The following is a 25,932-nucleotide window of genomic DNA, read 5'->3' as shown; positions in this document are numbered from 1 at the left end:
GTTATTGCAAAAAACAAGACCTCATTTTTTTTTATGGATCCATTGTGTATATGTACATTTTCTTTATCCATTCATCTGTTGATGGACACTTAGGTTGCTTCAAAACATAGTAGATTCTTTTTTTAAAAAAATTATTTTCATAGGTTATTGGGGAACAGGTGGTGTTTGATTACATGAGTAAGTTCTTTAGTGGTGATTTGTAAGATTTTGGTGCACTCATCACCTGAGCAGTATACACTGCACCCAACTTGAGGTCTTTTATCCCTCACCCCTTCCCACAATTTCCCCCAAGTCCCCAAAGTCCATTGTGTCATTCTTACACCTTTGCATCCTCATAGCTTAGCTCCCACTTATGAGGGAGAACATAAAATGTTTGGTTTTCCATTTCTGAGTTGCTTTACTTAGAATAATAGTCTACAATCTCATCCAGGTCCCTGCGAATGCCATTAATTCATTCCTTTTTATGGCCGAGTTGCATTGCATTATATATATTTATATACCACACTTTCTTTGTCCACTTGTTGATTTATGGGCATTTGGGTTGGTTCCACATTTTTGCAATTGCAAACTGTGCTGCTATAAACATGTATGTGCAAGTGTCTTTTTCATATGACTTCTTTTCTTCTGGGTAGATACTCAGTAGTGGGATTGCTGGATCAAATGGTAGTTCTACTTTTAGTTCTTTAAGGAATCTCCACACTGTTTTCCACAGTGGTTGTACTAGTTTACATTCCTACCAGCAATGTAGAAGTGTTGCTTGTTCACTGCATCCATGCCAACATCTATTATTTTTTGATATTTTGATTATGGCCATTCTTGCAGGAGTAAGCTGGTATCGCATGGTGGACCAAATATAGTAGATTCTTAACCCATATTGATTATTATCATCATGATCAAACTCATCACCATCTTTATCCATGTAGTGCTTGATCAGCCAATGTATGGACCTTCTCCTTGCACTGTCCCCAGCTCTGATATAGTGTTTTCATTATCTATTGCTATGTAATAAATTATACTGAAACTTAGCACTATAAAACACAAGCATTTATCTCACACTTTCTGATGGTCAGGAAGCTGGAGGTAGCTTAATGAGGGGTTTTGGGAGCAGGGTCTCTCATGAGGTTGCAATCAAGAGGTCAGCAAGGTATGCTCATGTTCATAGCAGCATTAACAATAACTAAAAGGTGAAAGCAACACAAGTGTCCATCCACAGATGAATGAATAAACAAAATGTGGTGTATATGTACAATGGAATATTACCTAGCCTTAAAAAGGAAGGACATCTTGTTGTATGATATAACGTGGATAACCCTTGAGGACATTATGCTAAGTGAAACATGCCAGTCATACAAGAACAAATACTGTATGATTCCGCTTACATGAGATACCAAGAGTAGTCAAATTTATAGAGACAGAAAGTACAGTGGTGTTTACCAGGAGTTAGGGGAGAGATTAATGGGAAATTATTGTGTAATGGGTACAGAGTTTAAGTTTGAGAAGATAAAAATAGTTCTGGAGGTGGATGGTAGCGATGGTTGCACAACACTCTGGAAATGTTTAATCCCACTGGACTATACACTTAAAAACCGTTCCAATGGGCAAATCCTATGTTGTGTGTATTTTGCCACAATAATTTTAAAGAAGATATTTGCTAGGACTGCAATCATCTTAAGGATTGACTGAAGCTGGAAAATTGCTTAAAAGTTCACTGGTGGCCAGGCACAGTGGTTCATACCTGTAATCCCAGCACTTTGGGAGGCCAAGGCGGGTGAATCATGAGGTCAGGAGTTAAAGACCAGCCTGGCCAGGATGGTGAAACCCCGTTTCTACTAAAAATACAAAAATTAGCTGGGCCTGGTGGTGGGCACCTGTAATCCCAGCTACTCAGGGGTCTGAGGCAGAGAATTGCTTGAACCCGGGAGGCAGAGTTTGCAGTGAGCTGAGATCTTGCCACTGCACTCCAGCCTGGGTGACAGAGTGAGACTCCATCTCAAAAAACCAAACAAAAAACAAAACAAAAACCTCACTGGTGGTTTTTAGTAGACTTCAATTTCTCACTGGGTGTTTGCTAGTCTCCAGTTTCTCACTGTGTGCACCTGTCCGTAGGATGGCTTGAGCATACTCAAAACATGGTGGCTTGCTTCCGCCAGAACAGGGGATCCAAGAAAGGGAGAGAGAAAGAACATCCAAAACAGAAGCCATAGTCTTTGTATAACCAAATCTTGAAAGTGGTATTCATCACCTTGGCAGTATACCACTGCTGTCACAGACCCACTTTGGTATGAGGTGAGAGGGGATCCTCCAAAGTTGAACATGCCAGGAAGTAGGGGTCACTGGACACCATGTTGGCTGCTGGATTCCACACATAGTTTTCAGCTTCTCTGCTTTGGTACTGAGACTATAAAGATGCATTTGGCTCCATCTTCATGGCCCCACCCCAGTGATTCTAAGGACATCTTTCACCCTTTGTTTTTGTTTAGACTCTCTCCACATTCCCAATAACCACCCTCTGCTGTGTTCCAACCATCTTTCGGCTGCTTGTGCAGGAGGATCTGACCAGGTACAGCCCATCTATTTCGTGCTTTGAGGGCCTAAGTATGTGAATATATAGCATGGGTATCCACACACACAACTACCCTCTCATTCCAACTCTCTTTCTTTCTCTGTCTCCCCCTCTATATATTTTTCTGCCTCTCTCTTTGTCTCTCTCTCCCACACACATTTATACACATACACATTGACAAGTCAACATACCTGTAAATCTCACAGATGCCCCTCAAGAACAAGCTTCTGGCCCCCCAAAATTTGCATCCAGATGGAACTAAATAGATTTAAGGCAGACTGAAATTTTAGCACCTGAGATAGGCTTCTCCTCACACCATACACCCATGGGCTATTCTGTCAGCAGTGTGTCTGCTACTTCTGTGAGGGAAGAGAAATGATTGGACAATTGTTAGCCACCTATGGAGTGCGGTTTGTGGCCAGGGCCCTCAGGTGTGGTGAAACTAACAAGCCCGCACCACAGTAGATGCCCCAACTCTCAGCCTCAGAGTAACCCCAGCCAACTGTTCTCTGAGCACATGTCATTGGACACCCAAGAGAAAGGGACAAGGCACTGATGATGGCTCCATCCTGGGTGAAGCCAAAGCAACATCTTCTAGCAGAACAGGGCTAGTTGCTGGGGTATATGGAGAGAGGCCCACCATCCTTCAGTATCCACCAACCCTGATCTGTTCTCCCTCTTTTGTCCTCCCCCAAGTCATGAGGAGTCGTCCTTTCTTCTTTCCTAATCACATGAATCTACCCACCAAGTGTCCAAAAGAGGGAGTTCTTACATGTTTCTAAAAGTGAATTCTTCTCCAATGTAAGAAAATCATCCCATTCATTGATCTGATGTGTGCATCTCCACATGATGATTTTGGCTGAAAGCAAGCTCCAAGTACCTCGTTAAGAACAATGTCGTTGAATGCTCTTTGGTAATAATAAGTAACTTAATCAAGCCAATTTGATCTCCCCTCTCCTCCAAGATTAAAAATGTACTTACAATCACTGATTTTTTTTTAATAGTTTGGATGATTTGTTGAACAGAGAGGGCATTTTGCAACATAATTAATATCTGTAGGAATTTTTGGGATTCTTAGGGGTCTAATTTTTATCTTTTCAATTTTCTTTTCTTTCCTTTCTTTTCCTTTTTCTTTTATTTTTATTTATTTATTTATTTTAGAGACAGAGTCTTGCTCTGTTGCCCAGGCTGGAGTGCAGTGGCATGATCTCGGCTTACTGCAACATCCGCCTCCCAGGTTCCAGCTTTCCTCCCACCTCAACCTTCCAAGTAGCTGGGACTACAGGCATGTGCCACCATACCTGGCTAAGTTTTAGTACTTTTTGGTAGAGACGGGGTTTTACCACGTTGACCAGGCTGGTCTTCAACTCCTGAGATCATGCAATCTGCCCACCTAGGCCTCCCAAAGTGCTGGGACTACAGGTGTGAGCCATGGTGCCTGGCCTATCTTTTCAATTTCTAATTGATCTATCCTTTTCAATCAGATTACTGTCCTAACCAATTTATTATCAGTTTTTTTCCAACTAAATTATTTTGGCCAAGTTACCTGGAACTCACCATATTATGCCAAAACCTATTATATGAGCTTCTGATTTTATCTCAAACTCAGATGGGATGGATCTTTTAAAAATTATCTGTCCATGAGGAGCATGGTTGCAAAGCCAGTGGGTGGACTCACTTAGAGAAGATTAAAAAGCAGGGGCATCTACCTCTAGTGCCTGTGGTGTTTGCATCTGGGCAGTGGCACCAGAGGGCGGGGTGGTATGAAGATCCTGACATAGGTGGCCTTGTTTTCCTGCCTGAGGAAGGTACCAGTTTCAGAGCCTGAGGCACTGTCTGACCGGAGGAGAGGCCCTCAACCCTGACGTGAGGGAGAAGTGGAAACGCCAGACCGGTGTGGAGCTGTACGAAGGCTATGGCCAGTCTGAAACGGTGAGTGCTGGAGGGGCCAGGTCCCTACCCCCCAGGTCCCCACCCCCCAGGTCCGCTTGAGAGCTTCCTGCCTCTCCAGCTGTCACCTCTCTGAAGCTTCTCAGGGACCACCCTTCCCCCAGGGGAGAAGCCGATAACAAAATTCCATCAGCTTTCCTTCCCTTTTGATTTCCATATGTTCTCACTTATAAGTGGGAGCTAAGCTATGAGGATGCAAAGACATACAGAGTGGTATAAAAGACTTTGGAGACTCAGAAGGAGGAAGGTGGGAGGAGGGGCGTGAGGGTAAAAAAACTACATATTGGGTATAATGTACACTACTCAGGTGACAGATGCACTAATATCTCAGGATTCACCAGTATAGAATTCATCCATGTTACATAAAACGCTCGTACCCAAAAAGCTATTGAAATACACACACACACACACACACACACACACACACACACTACTTATAAATTAAAAAAAGGTAATTTAAAGTACTTTTACAATTATACCATGACCAGCAAACCAGCCCTCACTGCTGAAGGCATTGTTTGTCTCCACCAAGACAGTCTACATCTGCCACTGTTCAGAGTCCAAGATTCTAAGCAGCGTCCTCTATAGTCATCTAGGAAGAGATCTGGGGATCAACTGAGTCTTTTGGCTTAGAGATGGGTTAAGTTCTTTATGTTTGAGTGCCCACTGGAGTGCCCCATAGTTGTTTGCTAACTATGGAAAGAAAAGAAGAAAGACAGGCAAGAAAGAGGGAAGAAAATGAAGAAGGAAGGGAAAGAGGAAATAAAGGAAAGAGAAAGGAAAAGAAGGAAGGAAGAGGAAAAAGATGAAAGGAAGGAAGGAAATAGGGAACAAAGAAGAAGGGAGGAGAGAGGAAAATGGAGAATGAAATAACGGGTTAAGGAATGAAAAAAGAAGGAGGAAAGAAAATGAAGGAGGGAAGGAAGAAAACAGGAAAGGGGAAAGAAAGGAAAGAAAGAGGAAAGGAAGGAGTGAGCAAGGAAGAAAAAAGAAAAGAAAGAAGGGAGGAAGAATGGAGAGAAATGGAGAGAGGAGAAGGGAAAGAAAGAAGAAAGTGAGGGAGGAGAAAAAAGAGGATGAGAGAAAGAGTTATCAGGCAGGGTGAGAGAAAGGCATGGCCCAGGAAAGAAGCTAAGTGGAAAGGCTCTTCTTTATCTGTACTGAGTTCTCCCCAGGTTGTCATCTGTGCCAATCCAAAAGGCATGAAAATCAAGTCTGGATCCATGGGGAAGGTGTCCCCACCCTACAATGTGCAGGTAGCAGACTCCCCCAACTTCTGGCAAGGCCTGGCGTGGAGAGGAGAAAGACACACAGGCCTGGCTGGCACGGGCTGCTGGGCTGCTGGGCTGCTGGAGGGGCCCAGGGTGTAGACACTCATGTATGCACCTCTGTGATGATCTCCTTACCAGATTGTGGATGATGAGGGCAATGTCCTGCCTCCTGGAGAAGAGGGGAATGTTGCCGTCGTATCAGAACCACCCGGCCCTTCTGTTTCTTCAATTGCTATTTGGTAAGAGACGGGGAACAGCTGTTCTCATGACGGTGACTGTGTGCTAAGCATTGTGCACCACACTTTGTAAGTATCTATTTGTTTAATCCTTACAATGACTGCATGAGGTAGGTTGCTACTATTATTAATAAAGTTCTGTTATTGATAAGGAAGACTATTATTAATAAGGAAGCTACTACAAAGGGGAAGTGACTTATCCAGCATCATGCAACTAGTACAGGCAGGACATGGGATTTAAACGTGGGTGTGTCTGAAAGCGTAAACATATGACATGAGGGCAGCACCGTTGTTTTAATGAGGAGAAAATCGAGGCGCAGTAAAGGAAAGGAGCTTCTGAAGGTCAAACTGCAGCCGGTTGCGGTGGCTCACACCTGTAATCCCAGCACTTTGGGAGGCCGAGGAAGGTGGATCACCTGAGGTCAGGAGTTCAACACCAGCCTGGTCAGCATAGTGAAACCCCGTTTCTACCAAAAATACAAAAATCAGCCAGGCATGGTGGCACACGCCTCTATTCCCAGCTACTTGGGAAGCTGAGGCAGGAGAATCGCTTGAACCGGGGAGGAGGAGGTTGCAGTGAGCCAAGATCATGCCACCGCACTCCAGCCTGGGCAAGAGAAGGAGACTCTGTCTCAAATAATAATAATAATAATAATAATAATAATAATAATAATAATAATAATAAAATAAATAAATACATAAAAGTCAAACTGCACTATTGTGTCAGAGCTGTCTTCAGGATTCTTTTTGTGGTTTGCTAGCAGGGCACAAACCTGGGATTTCAGTCCAAGTTTCTGGGATAATTCAGTAACTGCTTCCTTTTGTATTCATCTTGGCTGGTGTTTATGTCGGGCTTTCTTTTCTTCACAGCTTTCTCTCAGGTTTAAGCAATTCTCTTGCCTCAGCCTCCCAAGTAGCTGGGATTACAGGCATGCACCACCACACCCAGCTAATTTGTTTATCTTTAATAGAGACAGGGTTTCACTATATTGGCCAGCTGGTCTCAAATTCCAAACCTCAAGTGATCCACCCACCTCAGCCTCCCACAGTGCTGGGATTACAGGCATGAGCCACCACACCCGGCCTAGCCCTTCACTTTCTACCCTCAGTGATTCCTGAGCACAAAGAGTATTCATGTGTTCTCTTGTCCTAAAAACCACAGCCAGTGGCCCTGTGCCCACCCTCCTGCTTTCAACTATGCTTTCTAGACCCCCTTCTAAGGATGGTGGTGGGTGGCTGCCCTTAACCATTGGCTGGCAGCTTGATTCCAATCAAAAGAGGGAAATCCCACAACTAAACAGGGCCATAGCTCCCTGTCCATTGGGGAACTCTGGGCAGCTGGGACTTTAGGAACTGCTGAACTTTCTGTTGAGTGGTCTCCAGCTTCCTACAGGGGGCTACTGGGGCAGTAACTGGCCTTAGCGGTTGTTCCCAGAGGGTCCTTCACGGGTTGTCTTTGTCTTTCAGGACAATCCTGAGAAGACAGCTGCATCAGAACAAGGGGGCTTTTATATCACAGGGGAGCGAGCTCGCATGGACAAGGAAGGCTACTTTTGGTTCATGGGAAGAAACGACGATGTGATCAATTCTTCAAGGTCAAGCTGTCTGCACTTTCCTCCTCCCTTTGAAGTTTCATGGGGGTTGACGGAAGCCCACTTGGAAGAGTTTGTTTTTCCCTTCCAGCTACCAGATCGGGCCTGTTGAAGTAGAAAGTGCCCTGGCAGAGCATCCTGCTGTCCTGGAGTCGGCTGTGGTCAGCAGCCCAGACCCCATCAGGGGAGAGGTAACCAGTGCACCCAAGAACATGGCCTCCTGCTTCTGTACCTATTAGCACCCAGCAGAACAAGCAGGAAGGCTCAGATTGTCCTGTATTTCACCTCCATCCATGTGCCACAAAGTTGAAATGCCACCATCAGACACACGTTGCCTTCATGTCTTTAGAGATACGATTACTCTCTAAAGGGACATAATGGGAAAACACCAACACTTTGCTTTTAAATGGACACAACTACATCCCAGAGAGGCTGGCTATGGGGCAGGAGATCTTAGGGGGAGGTGCAGGCTCTGTTATCCATCCTGTCTAATAAAAAGTCTTTTCTATTTGCAGATGAGGACATAGCAAGCACACCAGTAATAGTTGCTGATGGCTGTAACCTAAGAGGGATAGAATATGTATCCAAAATGACCTACATATACCAGAAAGATGGGCCAAATTTAATAAGCTGGGCTTTCATAGGAGAAATCCTTTTTTTTTTTTGAGATGGAGTCTTGCTGTGTTGTCCAGGCTGAAGTGCAGTGGCATGATCTTGGCTCACTGCAACCTCCGCCTCCCAGGTTCAAGTGATCTTCTGATCTTCCTGCCTCAGCGCCCCCCCCACCAGTAGCTGGGATTACAGGCACATGTCACCACACCTGGCTAATTTTTGTATTTTTAGTAGAGACAGGGTTTTGCCTTGTTGGCCAGGCTGGAGGTCTTAAACTCCTGACCTCAGGTGATCCACCCACCCCGGCCTCCCAAAGTGCTGGGATTACAGGTGTGAGTCACCGTGCCCGGCCAGGAGGTCTTTCTGTGGGTCCCAGAAGAATGCATATTATGGGAAAGATCAGGTTCCAGGCAGACTTAGGTACTTTTCACTGGCTTACATCCAACATAATCCTAAAGCACAACGGTTACCTTTTGAAAGTTAGTGCAACATCAGCCTGCATTCTCAGAAGCACCAGGACCGCAGGAGAGATTCTCAAAGTCTGGTTCGTGGGCTGCTTGCAACTGTATCATCTGAGAGATTCTTGTTTAAAATATAGATTTGTAGACCTAAAGTCAGACTTACCAAATCATGATGACTGGGAATGCAGCCCAGAGAATCTGCATTTTAGCCAGCCATTCTTGGCCAAGTGATTCCCCTCTAAAATCCAAAGCCATTAATGTATAATAAGGGAGGTGTGGAGTCCCATTGATGTGCTGAAGAAATCTACCTCAAACGTATGCCTAGTTCTGCATGCCGTGAGTTAACTGGGACTGTGACAAATGGCTGTGTGCTCAAACTTAATCCATGTATAGTGCTTAGAACTGAGTCTGGTGTGTAGAAAGTGCCCAACACATAAGCCGGACACGGTGGCTCACGTCTGTAATCCCAGCACTTTGGGAGGCCGAGGCGGGTGGATCACGAGGTCAGGAGATCGAGGCCATCCTGGCTAACACGGTGAAACCCCATCTCTACTAAAAATACTAAAAATTAGCCTGGCGTGGCGGTGGGCGCCTATAGTCCCAGCTACTCAGGAGGCTGAGGCAGGAGAATGGCGTGAACCCAGGAGGCAGAGCTTGCAGTAAGCCGAGATCACCTCACTGAGCTCCAGCCTGGGCGACAGGGTGAGACTCTGTCTCAAAAAAAAAAAAAAAGTGTCCAACAAATGTTTCGTAGTTACAGTAGTAAGAGTAAGAGGAAGCTCTTTCTAAAAGCATATCTGTCTGAACATGAAATGATAGTGGCCTTCCTCCCTGTGGGAAGTATGCAAGGACAGTGAGCTACCCCTTTAATAGAATACTGTTAACAGATAGGAATGCTGGAATTAATAAGCATCCAAGTGACCTTCCATTCCTAACAGAAACTATGTTTGTTGTGCTTGAGTCTGGGACACTTCCTCCTGCCTGGCATAAGACAGCCTGCAGGAAAGTTGTGGGCAGAGAGACCCAAGGTGCAGAGTGTCCCTCGGGATGTCTGGAACAGAAGTGGTGCAGTTCAGGGTCTGCTGATTGCAAATGTTCATCCACGCAGACCCCCAAAGACCTAGTTCCCCTTGCAAGTGCCTGCATTTTCCTCAATCCCACCTGTTCAAACTCATGCCTACCTACCTTTCTCATTAGGAAAATCTGGAAGAAAATGGCCCTAGGAATTTATGAACCTCTTTTCTCCAAAATATTTGCTTCTTAAGAGAAGCGATGTTGGCTTCAAATGGTGTCATTCCAAGTATGGGGAGTAATTTGAGAAATAGGTAGGAGTTTGAAATCATCCCAGAAAGGTCAATCCTCCTAATAGTCACACCTGGAAGGGCCAGCAAAAGAAAAATTGATGTTGTTTGTGTCACTGGCTGTGCCCAAAAAAAACTAGTAGAACTTTCATGGTGCAAAGGTAAATGTAGGCACTTATTCAAGGCTCACTTAAGGAGAAAAGAGTTGTTATACGAGGCCTGATCTTTTCTGGGTATTTTGTTTTCCTGCAGGTGGTAAAGGCATTTATAGTCCTTACTCCAGCCTACTCCTCTCATGACCCAGAGGCACTAATGCGGGAACTCCAGGAGCATGTGAAAAGGGTGACTGCTCCATACAAATACCCCAGGAAGGTAAACATCAGGGTTTCCAGGGCACAGTGATCTGGCAATCAGATGGGCACGCTCTGCCTGGGCTCCCACTCAGAGCCAGGCCCTGTGCCAGGCACTGGGGATATGGAGAAACTTGTAACCCTGGCTGCTGCTTCAGCTTTTTTCTGTATTTCTTCACTTGGGTTCTCCTCAAAGCACATTTTGTTCCTGCTCTAAGAACAGCCTGATCCCTACCACAAATCAGATACAAGAGGTAGTGCTCAAATGCTGTCAAAATGATCCTGTGCTCCAGGCTCCAGCTGTTTTGCTTCTGGCCATTTAGGGGGAAACCCTGAATCAGGGACGCTTTCCAAGGACAGGCAGACAGTATTGTCTCTTTCAAAACAAAAGTCTTTTTGAGAAATGATGATTTCCAAGTGTTTTTTGTTTTGTGTTTGGTCACTAGGTGGCCTTTGTTTCAGAACTGCCAAAGACGGTTTCTGGAAAGATCCAAAGGAGTAAATTGCGAAGTCAGGAGTGGGGGAAATGAGGTGCAACCCCAGGAAGGCCCCGTAGACCTCCTAAGAGTCCACGAGAAACTAATGGATCACTGGTCAGCCCCCATGGGGAGCATCATCTCTTCAACCCTAAAGATGTCAAAGGTGTGCAGCTTCCAAATGGCATCCCCAGGATCACTGGGCAATGCCGGAAAGAGCAAAAGAATATCACTGGCCCTGACCACATAGATGCTGCGCCGCCTAGCAAATGCTTGGTGGTTCGACTTCTCCCTCTGTCTGGGGGCAGGCTCAGCATCTGCCCACTGGTCTCACTAAGAGCTTTCAGATTTCCCTCCACAGGACAGGTTACCATAGACTTGGGGCACTTGTGGGTACTCATTCTCTGCCAGTGGGAATGTAAAGCTTTCATCCTTTGTATGCAACCATTTGGTAAAAATATGCAGGAACGTAAAATAAAATATCCTTTAGCTCAGAAATTCTACCTTTGGGAGTCACCACAAAAGAAAAAATCAAAATGCAGAAAATGTGTGGTGCACTAAGATGATCACACAGCATTAAAACTAAAAAAAAAAAAAAAATTAACAATTAACATCCAAACAACAAGGAAATGATTAACAAAATTGTAGTAGATTAACTCAATAACATATGATGTGGCCACTAAAATATTTGAGAGCAGTTTAGTATGTCTTGGGAAAAGTGTAAGCTATATTAATTTTAAAAATCAGAATAAAAATATTTGCATACTGGAGAATCCCAACTCTGAAAAATAAAGGGAAAACTGTAGTTAATTGTAATTTTCCTGGAGATTGAGGAGGGAGGGAGAGAAAATAATGCATGGTAGTTTTTCTTCTTCCTTTTTCACTACATTTCTGTATTTTCCAAGTTTTTGTACTAAGCACATATAACTATTTTAATGAAAAAGTTATGTTAAAGAAAGCATACTCTGCTTCATGTCTAGTTCTTCCTCCACATACTCATACATCAACCCCAAAGACTGCTGTATTATGTCTGTATTAGTCAGCATTCTCCAGAGAAGGAGAAGCAATAGGACATATATAGACATAGGAGAGGGGATTTATGATGGGAATTGGCTCACTCGATTTTGGAGGCTGAGAAGTTCCACAATCTACCATCTGCATGCTGGAGATCCAGGAAACCCCGTGGTATAATTCCATCTGAGTCCAAAGGCCTGAAAACCAGAAGAGCCAATGTTATAACTCCCTGTCCGAGTGCAAAGTATCGAGAACCAGGAGCTTCACCGCCTGAGGACAAGAAAACACAGATGTTCTAGCCCAAAAGGAAGGAGCAAATTCCTCTTTTCTCCTTTTTCTCCTCTTCATGCCCTAATGGATTGGATGATGCCTGCCCACGTGGGTGAGGGCAGATTTTCTTAGTCTATGGCTCTATCTCTAATATCACCTGGAAACACCTCCCAGAGACACCCAGAAGTAATGTTCACAGCTATCTGGGGACTCTTAACCCAGTCAAGTTGACACCTAACATTAACCGTCACAATGTCTTATCCAGGAGGGGCATAAAGACGTGCAGCCACAGCTCAGGCCTGCAAACAGGAAAGGGTGGTTCTGGGAGCAACCCTGGAGGAAAAGCAGCAGATGGAAACTGAAGCAATCCCAGTGCTGCTGACCCCACCCCCAGCACCTCCACACCCTCCAGGGAAAATTCAGTGAGCACCTACTCAGTACTGAGCTCTGAGACTGCAGTGATACACCAAAGCCAGCCTAGTCCCTACCTATGTGAGTTTTCTGGGGCTGCCATAACACAGTACAACAGACTGGGCCATTTAAACAACAGAAATTAATGTCCTCACCGTTGTGGAGGCTGGAGGTCTAGGATCAGGGATTGGCAAGGTTGGTTTCATTCTGAGGATGTTTCCTTGGTTTGTAGATCTCTGACTTCTCCCTCTGTCTTCACATGGTCTTTCTTCTGTGCATGTGTGTCTGGGGCCCAATCTCCTCTTCTTCTAAGGACACCTATCATGTCAGATTGGATTAGGGCCCACCCTCATGACCTCACTTTAACTTAATCACCTCTTTAAAAACCTTGTCTCCAAAGACAGTCACAATCTGAGGTACTGGGAGGAACTGGGGTATCTGGGGTTAGGACTTCAACATAAGAATTTGGGGAAACACATTTCAGCCCAAATCCTTGTGGAGTTTAGTCTAGTAGGAAGGTCATTATTATTTATCACAGAATAATGCAAATAAATGTACAATTGTAATGCCATGAAGAAAAGGATACATTTAAGACATAGACTGGGGGGACTAATCAAGACTCAGGGGACTGAGGGTATCAGGGAGGCTTCTATAAGAAAGTCCCTGGACTAGGTGCAGTGGCTGATGTCTGTAATCCCAGCACTTTGGGAGGCTGAGGCGGGTGGATCACCAGAGGTCAGGAGTTCGAGACCTGCCTGGCCAACATGGTGAAACCTCGTCTCTACTAAAAATACAAAAATTAGCCGGGTGTGGTGGTGTGCACCTGTAATTCCAGCTGCTCGGGAGGCTGAGGCAAGAGAATTGCTTGAACCCGGGAGGCAGAGATTGCAGTGAGCTGAGATCACGCCACTGCACTCCAGCCTAGGTGACAGAATGAGACTTCATAAATCGGCTCTGTCTAGGCAGTGGGCAAGGCGAACCCACTGAGCAGTTACAATTCCCTTCCATCAAGCCCACCTGCTGGCTTTATCAGCAGCCTTTTGTCATACACAGGCTGGAGGTGAGTGAAGCTCCAAAGTCAAGTTGGGATTACTTCTGAGCATGTCATGTAACACCCTCTCATTAAACGGTGGTTATCTGTTACCCTGGTCTCCACTTGGAGCTTCAGCCAAGATTCTGAGACAACAGAGGAAGTCCCATTTAACATTCTCTTTCATGGGTGTCATAGCTCATTGCTATTGCTTATTATTTTAGGTTTGTTTTGCCTGTCTTTCCTAGTAGATTGTGGACTCTTCTAGATCATAGGCTAGATGATAGTCTTGTCCGTCTTCCCAGTGCCAATATCAGGACCTGCTGCCTAGTAGGTATCAGTAAATAGTCATTGAATGAATGAATGAATGAATGAATGAATGAAAAATAAGATACTAATTGAGGGGAATAAGCAGCTGAAGAGGCGTCAAGCAAGAATTACACCTGAAGACCGTTCACCTCTTTTTTCTTTCCAAATGAATATATCTGTTTATTTTCTTGAGTGCTGAAAAATTCTTAATAGAAACCTAACAGTTCTATCTTGTACACAGGCAGGTGACTTTCCCTCTCTAGGCCTCTTTTTCCACATCTCTATATTGGGGGCTGGAGTGTAATACTAGACCTACTTTCCCCAGCCTTTCCATTGCTGTGGACTCCTTTCTATCATTCTGCCATCATGTTTGGAAAGATTTTCTCTCAAAGTTCATACTTCTTCCAATCCACTATGTCCATCAGAATTTGAGGTGGTGTCAGCTTTTATTGGGTAATGACGCTTGTATGTTAGCTATTAATTTTATTTTATTTTTCTTGTTTCAGTTTTTATCTTGGTTTTGATAAATAATCCTTAGCTAGAAAGGGCCCAACCTCCTATTGTGCAATGTGGTAAATCACAGCAACAACTTTTGGTTTTTTTCTTTTTAGAGGGAGTCTCACTCTGTCACTCAGGTTGGAGTGAAGTGACATGGTCTCGGCTCACTGCAACCTCCTCCTCCCGGGTTCAAGTGATTCTCCTGCCTCAGCCTCCCGAGTAGCTGGGACTACAGGCATGCGCCACCATGCCCAGCTAATTTTTTTATTTTTAGTAGAGATGGGGTTTCACCATGTTGGCCAGACTGGTCTCAAACTCCTGATCTCAAGTGATCCACCCACCTAGGCTTCCCAAAGTGCTGGGATTACAGGCGTGAGCCACCGTGTCCAGCCTCACAAGCAACATCTTTAAGGTAAGGAGAGAATCAAGGAAGTCCAAGATATGCCAAGATGGGAACACTGATCCTTTCATTTCAGGGTTTCTGCCTGAGAATCCACAGCTCACCTTATACACTTCCAGTAATGAAGAGGATTATGAGGGTGGTGGTGGTGATGATGATGATAGTAAACCACTACCACTGGTTGAGCTCTTTCTTAACTGTTGAACTTCAGTGTGGGCTTACTAGACATTATCTCATTTAAGCCCCGCAAAAAGCAATAAAGTAGGTATCTTTCATTCATCCCTTCATTTAGCAAAAAATGATTCTATTCCTACTCTGTACCCAGCACAGTTCTAGGCACTGAGGATACAGCAGTGAATGAAAGAGACAGAAACCCCTGACTTCTGGAAATGGCAACCTTGTGAAAAGAGGGATAACAAACAAAGAACTATTAGGTTGGTACAAAAGCAATTGCGGTTTTTGCCATTCCTTTTGATGGTAAAAACCGCAATTACTTTTGCACAAATCTAATTTTAAAAATTAGAGTATGTCGGACAGTGTCAGTGCTAAGGAGGAAAATAAAGTACAAGTAGTGAATAGGGACTACGGAATGGTGGTGCAGGATTTTAAATAGGGTAGCCAGGAAGGGGTTTGCGAGGACCACGTTTGAGCAAACCGAAAGGTGAGGGAGCGAGCTGTGCAGATGTGGGGGTCGGGGAGGACACTGTCCCAGAGACAGAAGAGCAGGTTCAAAGGCCCTGAGACAGAAACAATCGCCTGGTGATCCCCATTTTACAGAAGAGAGATCTGAGGCTCAGAAAGATGGAGTCACTCATCCAAACTTGCACAGCTGTAAGTGGCAGAGCTGGGATTCGAATGCCAGGCCCGATACCACCAAAACCTGCATTTGTTTCTCATTTTCTCATATTTTTCAATTCAGACACTGAGGATGTAGGTGTTGGGGCATCGGCAGAGTGCTTAAGAGCTAGACGTGATGTGAACCAGACCTGGGTTCAGGTTTTGTGGTGCCACTTACCTCCTTGGGTGGCTGACTTGAACTGTCTGAGCCTCAGTTTCCACATGCTGAATTGGGGATAATAATAGATAACTGCTAGGGTTATAGAGGTGGTTGAACGAAACACCTGCACAGTTTGTGGCACACTAAATGCTCTCTCAATAAATGTGTTTTTGTTGTTGTTTGTTTTTTTTGTTGTTTGTTTTTTTTTTTTGAGATTGAGTTTCCCTCTTGTCCCCCAGGCTGGAGTGCAATGGCGCTGTCTCAGCTCACTGCAACCTCCACCTCCCAGGTTCAAGCGATTCTCCTGCCTCAGGTTCCTGAGTAGCTGGGATTACAGGTGCCCACCACCACACCCAGTTAATTTTTAAATTTTTTTTAGTAGAGAAGGGGTTTCACTATGTTGGCCAGGCTGGTCTCGAACTCCTGACCTCAGATGATTCACTCACCTTGGCCTCCCAAAGTGCTGGGATTACAGGTGTGAGTCACTGCGCCCAACCAATAAATGTTATTCCTAGTTACTATTACTCAGTCTACAGCCCCATTTTCTGGAGGGGACATTAAGATTCTGCACCCCAGAAGACTGGTGAGTTTCCCACCTTCATGCAAGGGGTCTCTGGGTGAGTTGCCTCGTGAAAGCTCCTAATAACCATTGAAATAGCAGTTTCTTTCCAAAGCACTAATTATGTACCTGGTATTTATCATATGCCTCGGCTCCTCAAACTGCAGCAAACAAACTCCATGGAAGAGAAAAAAATGGGACTCCAGAGACTTGAAACCACGGCCACTTGTCAGATGCAGCCCCCAACTCTGAAAGTGAGAAGCAGAGACAAAGTTATCTCCTGAAGCACATGGATACTTTTGAGCAGGTTTTTCAGATCAAACATAAGGCTTTGCAGAAGTCTAGCACTTTGCATTGTTCTCCACATCTAAGAGTCTTAGGGGAGCAGCATCCCACCCCTCTGGCAGCCGGACAACTGAGAAGCCTCCAGAATTGTCTTACTCAGGCTTTACCATGACCCTACCAGATAGATGCTATTTTTATCTCCATTTTGTACAGGAGGAAACTGAGGCACAGTGGGTCAGTGTGTGTGTTCTTTTGGTAAGTGGTACAGCCGAGATTTAAAATGGGTCCTCTGATGGCAATTCTCAGGCATTGTCTCTTGCTCCAGGCTGCCTCCAAAACCTTGGCTCCATCCAGCCAGACCACCAAAGACTTCCTGAGACAATCAGAGGTGGAATGTGATAAAGAAAATCTGTTTTTCCCGCGATGATTCCTGACTGAAAACCCCCTGCCCTGGGAAATTCTGAGCCCCCACCACGGAGTTCTGCTCCCAGCATTTCCCCAGCAACTCCAGCACTTTTTCTATTTTCCCCCAACATTGAATCCCCACTGTGGGTCAGATTCTAGGGACACAAAGGTGGCCAGCTGATTGTGCACAGCCTCCAACAGTGACCATTTCAAACCATTTTCTTTTAAAATGGCTCTTTGCCGAAACACGGTGTTCCCTATGAGAAGGACACTGGACTTTGAAGTTAGATTTGAGTCCTGTTGTAGCACTTACCAGCTGCAGGAGCTTAGCCAAATTTCTAGTCCTCTCTGAGCCTCAATTTCCTTATCTATAAAATGTGGCTCTGGATACCTCTCTTGTAGAGTTCTTGTTTAGATTACATGTGAGCACTTCTATAAAACACTGAAGACATGAGCTAGCCGTTATTCTTTATAAACAGTCATCAGGAGAATTTTGATTTTCCACCTCACAGATTTCCCACAGGAATGTGCTGTCCTGAAATGTGTCTAAAGGTCAACATTTGAAAAACAGAAAGAATGGAAAAGAAAGTCAGCAAAGTCCAGCATCATGACTTGGCAGTGTCCCCAGTGGCCAGGTGCAAAGGAGCACCCAGAGAGGTGTTTTCAGACCACTGTAAATAGTGTGAGTGCTATTTAGGACTTACACACACTCAGACACATGCACACACACACAAATATAGATACAGCCACACACATCTGCAGTTTCACTGCCACACATAGACACTCACACATGCAAGCACACACAAATATCTAGTCACACTTCTAGACACTCACACACATGAATACACACAGTTACACTTACAATCTTATGCACATGCCAAACTCATAAACAGATACATAGACATACACTTAACTACAGAGCTACATATACATGACAGTCACACACATAGTTACATACACAGTCTCACACATACATTCACACACATCCACATCTACCAACACACATGCATGCATGTAAGTATACATAAACACCTGTACACCTGCGCATACAGCTCTACACACACTTGCACACATGTACACATACACAGTCTCACATACATCCATGTACTGACACATAGGCACACATGGGCACAAACATGCACAACCTTACACACATGTCTTTACACACAGAACCGCACACACATAACAGCTATACATACATCCCACAGTCACATGTGCACACACAAAAACATACATGCATGCACTTAGGCTATCTCACATACACAGCTATGTACTTCACACAGGCACACACATTATAACAACATGTTTTCTTTTCTTTACAGCCCTTATTCATTCTCTCAGCTATTTACTGAATGTTTACTGTGTGCTAGCTACCGTTAAAAGTCCTTGAGCTAAATCATTGAACAAAATGAGCAAAAATATCTGCCCTCATGAAGCTTAGATTCTAATGGAAGGAGAGAGAGGCAAAAATAGTAAGTAAGTATGTTAGCAGGTAGTGAGTATTAGAGACAATAGTGCCTAGTAATGAGGAGGAGGAAGAACCAACTTGGAGGTGGGTTGCCGTTTTGAGAAGGTGGTCAAGGTAAGCTTCATTGAGAAGTTGACAAAAATATTTAGCAAGGAAATAAAGTAGGAGAGGGAGTTATCCATGTAGATATCTATGAAAAATCAGTCTGAGAAGAGGAAACAGCAAGTGCAGATACCCTAAAGGCAGAGTGTGACTTCAAGGAACAGGAAGAAAGCCCTTGTAGTTGACATGCAGTGAATAAGGGGGTAAAGGAACAGGACATCAAACCAGAGATGAAGAGAGTGTGTGAAAATCTTACCAGACCTTGAATAATGAGGTAAAAACTCTGAAGTTAATTTTGCATGAAACTGAGATTCACCGGTAGGTTGTGAGCAGAGGTGTGACATGATCTGACCTCTGACTTATCCTTTACAGTATATAAAATGAACTTCATTACTTTACATGTTATTATCTGTGTCACTTCTGAACAGGAATGAATCTGTCATGGTCACCTCTGTGTCTACCTGAGAGTAACACTCAGTCAATATTTGTTGACTACTTGATAAGGACAGACATTTCCAAGGAGAAAAGTGTTCTGAGGTGCTCCAGTTTGGATGTTTGCTCTCAATAAAACTCATATTGAAATTTGAGATGGAACCTTACAGGAGGTATTTGAGTCATGAGGGAGAATCCCTCATGAATAAATTAATGCCCTCCCTAGGGAGTGAGTGAGTCCTAATCCTATTATTCCCCACAAGAGCTGGTTGTTGCAAAGAGCCTGGCATCTCCCCACTATCTCTCTTGCTTCCTCTCTCACCATGTCATCCATGCACACGCCAGCTCCCTTTCACCTTCTACCATGAATAGAAGCATCCCGAGGCCCTTGCCAGCTGCAGATGCCCAATCTTGAAATTTCCAGCTATCAGAATCATGGGCCTAATAAACATTTCTGAAATAAATTACCCAGCCTCAGATATTTCTTTATAGCAATGAAAAATGGACTACAACAGGAAATTGTTGCCAGGGAGTAGGGTATTGCTATAAAGATACCTGAAAATATGACAGCAGCTTTGGAACTGGGCAATGGAAAAGGTTGGAAGAGTTTGGATGGCTCAGAAGAAGACAAAGAGTTGAGGGAAAGTTTGAAACTTCTTAGAGATTGGTTAAATGGTTGTGACCAAAATGCTGTCAACGTAAAATAGTCAAAAGAGTCAGCATCTAGTTAAAAGAGCTCATTCAAGCACAAAGTATGAGTGCGGCCATCCAGGGAGCACAGCTATTCCAAAGAATGGTGAGCAGTGTTGTGCTCCTGGTGTAGGGGAAAATGAGGATTGCTTATACCAGCAAAATGAAGTTGCTGAACAAAATTACAACATTTTCCATAAAAAAGGTTAACATACAGATATAAGATTTCATTGGCTACTTTTGATTACACGCTAAAGGGATAGTTTTACATTCTATTAAAAGGAGACAGTCACAAGGGTCTCTATCTTCACTTTGTTTAGCGCAGTTTTGAATAAAGAAGAGTCTGGTTAATGTATAACATCTCAACACAAAGGTCAGAAAGCAACGGTCATGCACCAGAATCAGGGGAAGTTGTGTTACCTCAGTCAGCTTTCAGGCCTTAAGTTTTCCCTTTTGCATGATAAATTTGGAAGGTCCTAAATTTAAATTTTTTACAATGCTGATAGAAATATAGACAGTACAGGCCATGCCAAAAAATCTCAGATAGAAATGAGAAACTCATTGGAAGCTGGAGCAAAATTCACCCATGTTACTCTGTAGCAAAGAACTTGGGTGCACTGTGTCCATGCCCTAAGGCTTTGTGGAAGGCTGAACTAAGAGTGATGACCTACGGTGTCAGATGCAAGAGATATCTAAGCAGCAAAGTGCTCAAGAAGTGATGTGGTTACTTTTAACAGCTTATGTTAAATTGTGACAGCAAAGGAATGACCTAAAGCCTGTGTTTATAATTAAAGGGGAAGAAGAGCATTAAAATTTGGATAATTATCAGCCTGCACATAGTGGTAGAGAAGAAAAGAGAATTTTCAGGAGAGGAGTCCAAGAAAGTGTCAGAACAACTCTGCTAAAGCATGACCAAAAGGGGGCCTGGTGCTAATAGGATAATAGGAAGAAGGTTCCAAAGGCATTTCAGAAATCTTTGGGGCTGCTCCTCCCATCACAGGCCCAGAAGACTAACAAAGACAGAATGGTATTAATTCTGCAGGCACCCAGAATGTAGGGGCCATAGATGCTTGGTGGTAAGATCCTCTACAAAGAATTCCCTCTAGGGAAATGCCTCATGAAGCCATGGGAGTGGGGCCACCCCCAAGACACAGAACTGTAGGATCACCAATTTGCAACTCTAGCCTGAGAGAGCTGAAGCATGGGCTGATACCAGCTATAAGACAATGTTGGCCATGCATGGTGGCTCATGCCTGTAATCTTTGGGAGGCCATGATGGGAGGATCACTTAAGTTCAGGAGTTCAAGACCAGCCTGGAGAACATAGTGAGACCACGTCTCTATAAAACGTTAAAAAATTAGCTGGGCATAATGGCATGTGCCTGTAATCCCAGCTGCTCAGGAGGCTGAGGTGGGATGGTTGCTTGAGCACGATAGATTGAGGTTGCAATAAGCTGTGATCAGACTACTGCACTCCAGCCTGGGCAACAAAGTGAGACACTATTTCAAAATAAAATAAATATGAAGAGATATAAAGAGTTTTTTTCCCTGTTGAGTTTTGGGCTTACTTGGACAGTGTTGGGTTGGGTTGGAACAGGGAAGAGAATGGGTCAGACTCTGAGTGTAGCCTGCAGGTGGATCTGATGGCTTTTTCACATCCATGTGAGAAAGAAAAGAGTCAGGGCAGTCTCTAAGATTTGATGTTGGAAGAACTAGAGGAATAGGGGTGACATTTGCTGAGATGGATAAAACCATACCTGGAATGAGAGTGGCCAGGGAAGGATGTGATCAACCTCTTAGCTTTGGACAAAGTATGTTTGAGATGCCTGTTAGATATCCAGGTGGAGAAGTCAGGAAGATGAGGATGCAGGAGAGAAAACCAGGTTGGATACACACGTGTGGGGGCCATTGGCAAGCCACATGGTATCCAAGCTATGACATTTGATGAGATAATGTACAGAGTGAACGTGGATAAAGATGAGGAGGAATCAGCAAAAGAGAAGGAAAGCAAGAGGAAAACCAGGCAAAAGTGGTATGCTGGAACCAAGCAAAACAAAGAATTAAAGGAGTGTTCATCAAGCCTATGTGAGCTCCATTTCTCTCTCTTGGGTTGAAGCAATAATTTTCTGTCAGTCCTGGGCATAAACCTGCTTCATGCCCCTTGGATTGAAAGTGCAAGTCCAGTTGACCTCAAATGCTCTAATGTTGTAATGTCCATAAACTTGGCTAGGAGGACTGCTGTTACCCTTTGTAAGACTCCAAAGTTATCCACTGTCAATGATTAGCTGAGCTCTCTTTCCGACAGTGCAGGGATTCTGAAGCTGTCTGCTTGAGTTACTGTGCTCTCTTCCAAGGCTGTAGGAGTTCTGGAGCTGCTGGCTGGAGAGGAGGGTGGACGAAGCTCTCTCCAGAAAGACATCCTGAGAGGACTTGGCAGGTGAGCACTGTTTCAAGGAATGGGCTGATGGGGTCATAATCCATGATAACCTCACCAATCTTTTAGAGTCACAGCTGGTGAGAAGAGCAAAAATCCTCACAGAAAAGCAGAAATTCCTAGGGACCATGAAAGACAGTACCTGCCAAGTCTTAGGAGGAAACACTGGGCAGAGGAAAAGGCACGTTTATGGCAGCAACAGGGAGAGACGAGGGCAGCTGGAAAAAGGTGGTAACAGGGGGCTGGTAGTTGGGTGGTGGTCAGAGAAGGATGAATCCCAGAGGAGGTGAGACCAGAAGAATGAAGAAGAGCTTATTATGGAAAAAGAGAGGGACCAGCAGGTACAAAGGCAATGTGTAGTTCTGCTCAGGAGCTGGTACAGTAATCTTCAATTCTTATTCCATAGAAAAAAAGGAGACAGAAATGTCAGACACTGTGATGGTTAATACTGAGTGTCAATTGATTGAATTGAAGGATACAAAGTGTTGATCCTGGGTGTGTCTGTGAGGGTGTTGTCAAAAGAGATTAACATTTGAGTCGGTGGGCTGGGAGAGGCAGACCCACCCTTAATCTGGGTAGGCACCACCTAATCCAGCATGACTAGAATATAAGGAGGCAGAAAAATATGAAAAGAGAGACTGGCCTAGCTTCCCAGCCTAGATCTTTCTTCCGTACTGGATGCTTCCTGCCCTTGAACATCAGACTCCAGGTTCTTCAGTTTTGGAACTCAAACTGGCTCTCCTTGCACCTCAGCCTGCAGATGGCCTATTGTGGGACCTTGTGATCATGTGAGTTAATACTGAATAAACTGTATATATATATACAGTTGTGTATATATATATACACACATACATATGTTAATACTTAGTAAACTCATATATATACTTATATATATGAGTTTATATGTATTACTTATACATATGAGTTTATAAAATATATATATTCCATTAGTTCTGTTTCTCTAGAGAACCCTGACTAATACAGATTTTGGTACCAGAAGTGGTTCTAGAGGAAAAGAATATTAAGGATGGAGTTCTTTTGTTGGTTTTGGGGTTTCTGGAGTTGGTGCCTTAATATGATTAGACCCCAAAATACTAAGGACTCTAATTCTAATAGTATGGAGAAGACTGATAGCCCTTGGTGTGAACTGTTTAAAGAGTTATACAAAATAAATGCATTTGACACTCCTGATTCATTGCTCATGAGAGGCAAGGAGTTTAGTGACCCTATACATCATACCTTTGACCATATGTGGAGAACTAAGGAACATAATGAAGCTGGTTGGTTGCTCCTAAGTTCAGTGGATAAAGTGATGAAAGAAAATGATGAACTCGGGGATTCTATCTCCCAGCTTCAGAAGCAGATACTGAGCCTCAAATCTGCCAAGATTGCCCTGAGTGAGAGTCTAATCTCCTGTAGAGAAAGAACTGAAATTGTGGAAAAATAGACATAAGCTCTTATCATGTTAGTGGCTGACCTGCAATGAAAGGTGCATGCACAGCCTCACCATGCACAGCCTCGCCAAGTATCTACTGTTAAAGTGAGGGCATTGATTGTTTTGCAGGAAGTCAGGGACCCTGAATGGAGGGATCGGCCAGAGCTGAGGCAGAAGAACATAAATTGTGAAGATTTCATGGATATTTATCACTTCCCAAAATTAATACTTTTATAATTTCTTATGCCTGTCTTTACTGCAATCTCTGAACATAAATTGTGAAGATTTCATGGACATTTATCACGTTCCCAATTAACACTCTTATAGTTTCTTATGCCTATCTTTACTTTAATCTCTTAATCCTGTTATCTTCATAAGCTCAGAATGTAATTCACCTCAGGACTACTATTGCACAAATGGATTGTAAAACATGTGTGTTTGAACAATATGAAATCAGTATACCCGGAAAAAGAACAGAATATCAGTGATTTTCAGGGAACAATGGAAGATAACTATAAGGTCTGACTGCCTGCGGGGTCGGGCAGAATAGAGCCATATTTTTCTTCTTGCAGAAAGCCTATAGAAGGATGTGCAAGTAGGAGAAATATTGCTGAATTCTTTTCCCAGCATGGAAGAACCCTGGGGAAGGAATGCATTCCTGGGGGTAGGTCTATAGATGGCCGCTCTGGGAGTGTTTGTCTTATGCGGTTGAGATAAGGATTGAAATACGCCCTGGTGTCCTGCAGTACCCTCAGGCTTACTAGGATTGGGAAATTCCAGCCGGGTAAATTCTAGTCAGAGTGGTTCTCTGTTCTCAAACCCTGTTTCCTGTGAAGATGTTTATCAAGACAATGTGTGCACAGCAGGACATAGACCCTCATCAGTAATTCTAATTTTGCCTTTGCCTTGTGATCTTTACTGCCCTTTGAAGCATGTGATCCTTGTGACCTACTCCCTGTTCGTACACCCTCTCCTCTTTTAAAATCCCTAATAAAAACTTGCTGGTTTTGCTGCTCGGGGTCACCATCATAGTCCTACCACTATGTGATGACAGCCCCAGAGGCCCAGCTGTAAAATTTCTGTCTTTGTACTCGTTCTCTTTATTTCTCAGACCGGCCGACACTTAGGAAAAATAGAAAGAACCTATGTTCAAATATTGTGGGCTGGTTCCCCTGATAGATTGGAAAAGAATGAGACCCTGCAACTTGGAATGGGGAGGTATGGGAGGACACTGGTGAAGCTGGGGACACTGACTTTGTAAACTCCAATGAACTTTTTTTGCCAGAAGAAACAACTTCCTCCCCACCCAGTAGTGACAGCATTCTCTCCCTAACCCATGCTGCCATCAGCCTTTCCACCTTTGTCTGAGGAGGTAAACTCTGTGCTGCCTGAGGCAATAGTGATGGCCTCCCCTGAGGCAGTTGCCAAGCAAGATAATGAGAAATAACAATCAGTACAGTTTGGCTCTCAGAAAGCCACATCCCTAGGAAAAGGGAAAGAGTACTACATCAGGGGAACATCCCATGGGAAAAAAGAATCTGAACAGTAGCCTTGAGCCCCAGATCTTCCCTCTAACATAGCCTACCCAAATGAGAAGGAACCAGGAAAACGATTCTGGGAATATGATAAAACAAGGCTGTTTAACACCTCCCCCCAAAAATCACACTAGCTCACCAGCAATGGATCCAAACCAAGAAGAAACTCCTAATTTACCTGAGAAAGTATTCAGAAGGGCAATTATTAAGCTAATCAAAGAGGCACCAGAAAAGGTGAAGTCCAATTTAAGGAAAAAAAAAAAAATACAAGTTATGAGGGGAGAAATCTTCAGTGAAATAGATAGCATACATAAAAACAATCATAACTTTAGGAAATAAAGAACACAGAGAAAAACGCACTGAAAAGCCTCAACAATAGAATTGAACAAGCAGAAGAAATAACTTCAGAGCTTGAAGACAAGATTTTTGACTTAGCCAAATCCAACAAAGACAAAGAAAAAAAAATTTTTCAATGAACAAAGCCTCCAAGAAGTTTGGGATTGTGTTAAATGATCAAACCTAAGAATAATTGGCATCCTTGAGATAGAAGAGACATCTAAAAGTTTGGGAAATGTATTCAAGGAAATAATCAAGGAAAACTTTCCCAGCCTTGCTAAAGACCTAGACATCCAAATATAAGAAGCTCAAAGAACACCTGGGAAATTCATTGCAAAAAGATCATTGCCTAGGCACATTGTCATCAGGTTATCTAAAGCCAAGATGAAGGAAAGAATCTTAAGAGCTGTGAGACAAAAGCACCAGGTAATCTATAAAGGAAAACCTGTCAGATTAACAGCAGATTTCTCAGCAGAAATCCTACAAGCTAGAAGGGATTGGGGCCCTATCT

The 25,932-nt window shown here is 43.8% G+C and overlaps 1 protein-coding gene, 1 long non-coding RNA gene and 1 pseudogene across 8 annotated transcripts in view; 2 read left to right on the top strand and 1 right to left on the bottom strand.

Annotated features, from left to right (window-relative positions):
• Window positions 1-889: 889 nt before the first annotated feature.
• Window positions 890-10,853, top strand: LOC112267906 (acyl-coenzyme A synthetase ACSM5, mitochondrial-like; annotated as a pseudogene).
• A 976-nt stretch (window positions 10,854-11,829) lies between these two features.
• On the bottom strand, window positions 11,830-19,329 carry LOC105371120 (uncharacterized). 2 transcript variants are annotated; one of them, XR_002957897.2, is made up of 4 exons: window positions 17,304-19,329; window positions 16,430-16,548; window positions 12,663-12,825; window positions 11,830-12,023 (listed from the first exon to the last, which is right to left on the bottom strand). It is a non-coding gene; the product is annotated as an uncharacterized LOC105371120 (long non-coding RNA). The 2 variants fall into 2 exon arrangements; XR_950899.3 differs by lacking the exons at window positions 11,830-12,023; window positions 12,663-12,825 and adding an exon at window positions 15,252-15,806 and having other exon boundaries at window positions 17,304-19,321.
• Window positions 19,330-21,957: 2,628 nt separating this feature from the next.
• The window catches only part of ACSM2B (acyl-CoA synthetase medium chain family member 2B), a 40,142-nt gene continuing 36,167 nt past the window's right edge, over window positions 21,958-25,932 (top strand). For 5 of the 6 annotated variants that reach the window (XR_001751899.3, NM_001410902.1, NM_001105069.2 and 2 more), the window contains exon 1: window positions 21,958-22,118. The gene's annotated coding sequence lies outside the window, so the exon portion shown is untranslated. Of the gene's footprint in view, window positions 22,119-22,868; window positions 22,904-25,932 lie in introns of all 6 variants that reach the window. The other variant, NM_182617.4, reaches the window with a different exon arrangement.

Source organism: Homo sapiens, chromosome 16 (genome assembly GCF_000001405.40).
Source record: "Homo sapiens chromosome 16, GRCh38.p14 Primary Assembly".
Lineage (NCBI taxonomy): Eukaryota > Metazoa > Chordata > Mammalia > Primates > Hominidae > Homo > Homo sapiens.
Note: the sequence above shows the minus strand (reverse complement) of the source record. Positions and strands in the feature narration are given on the sequence as shown.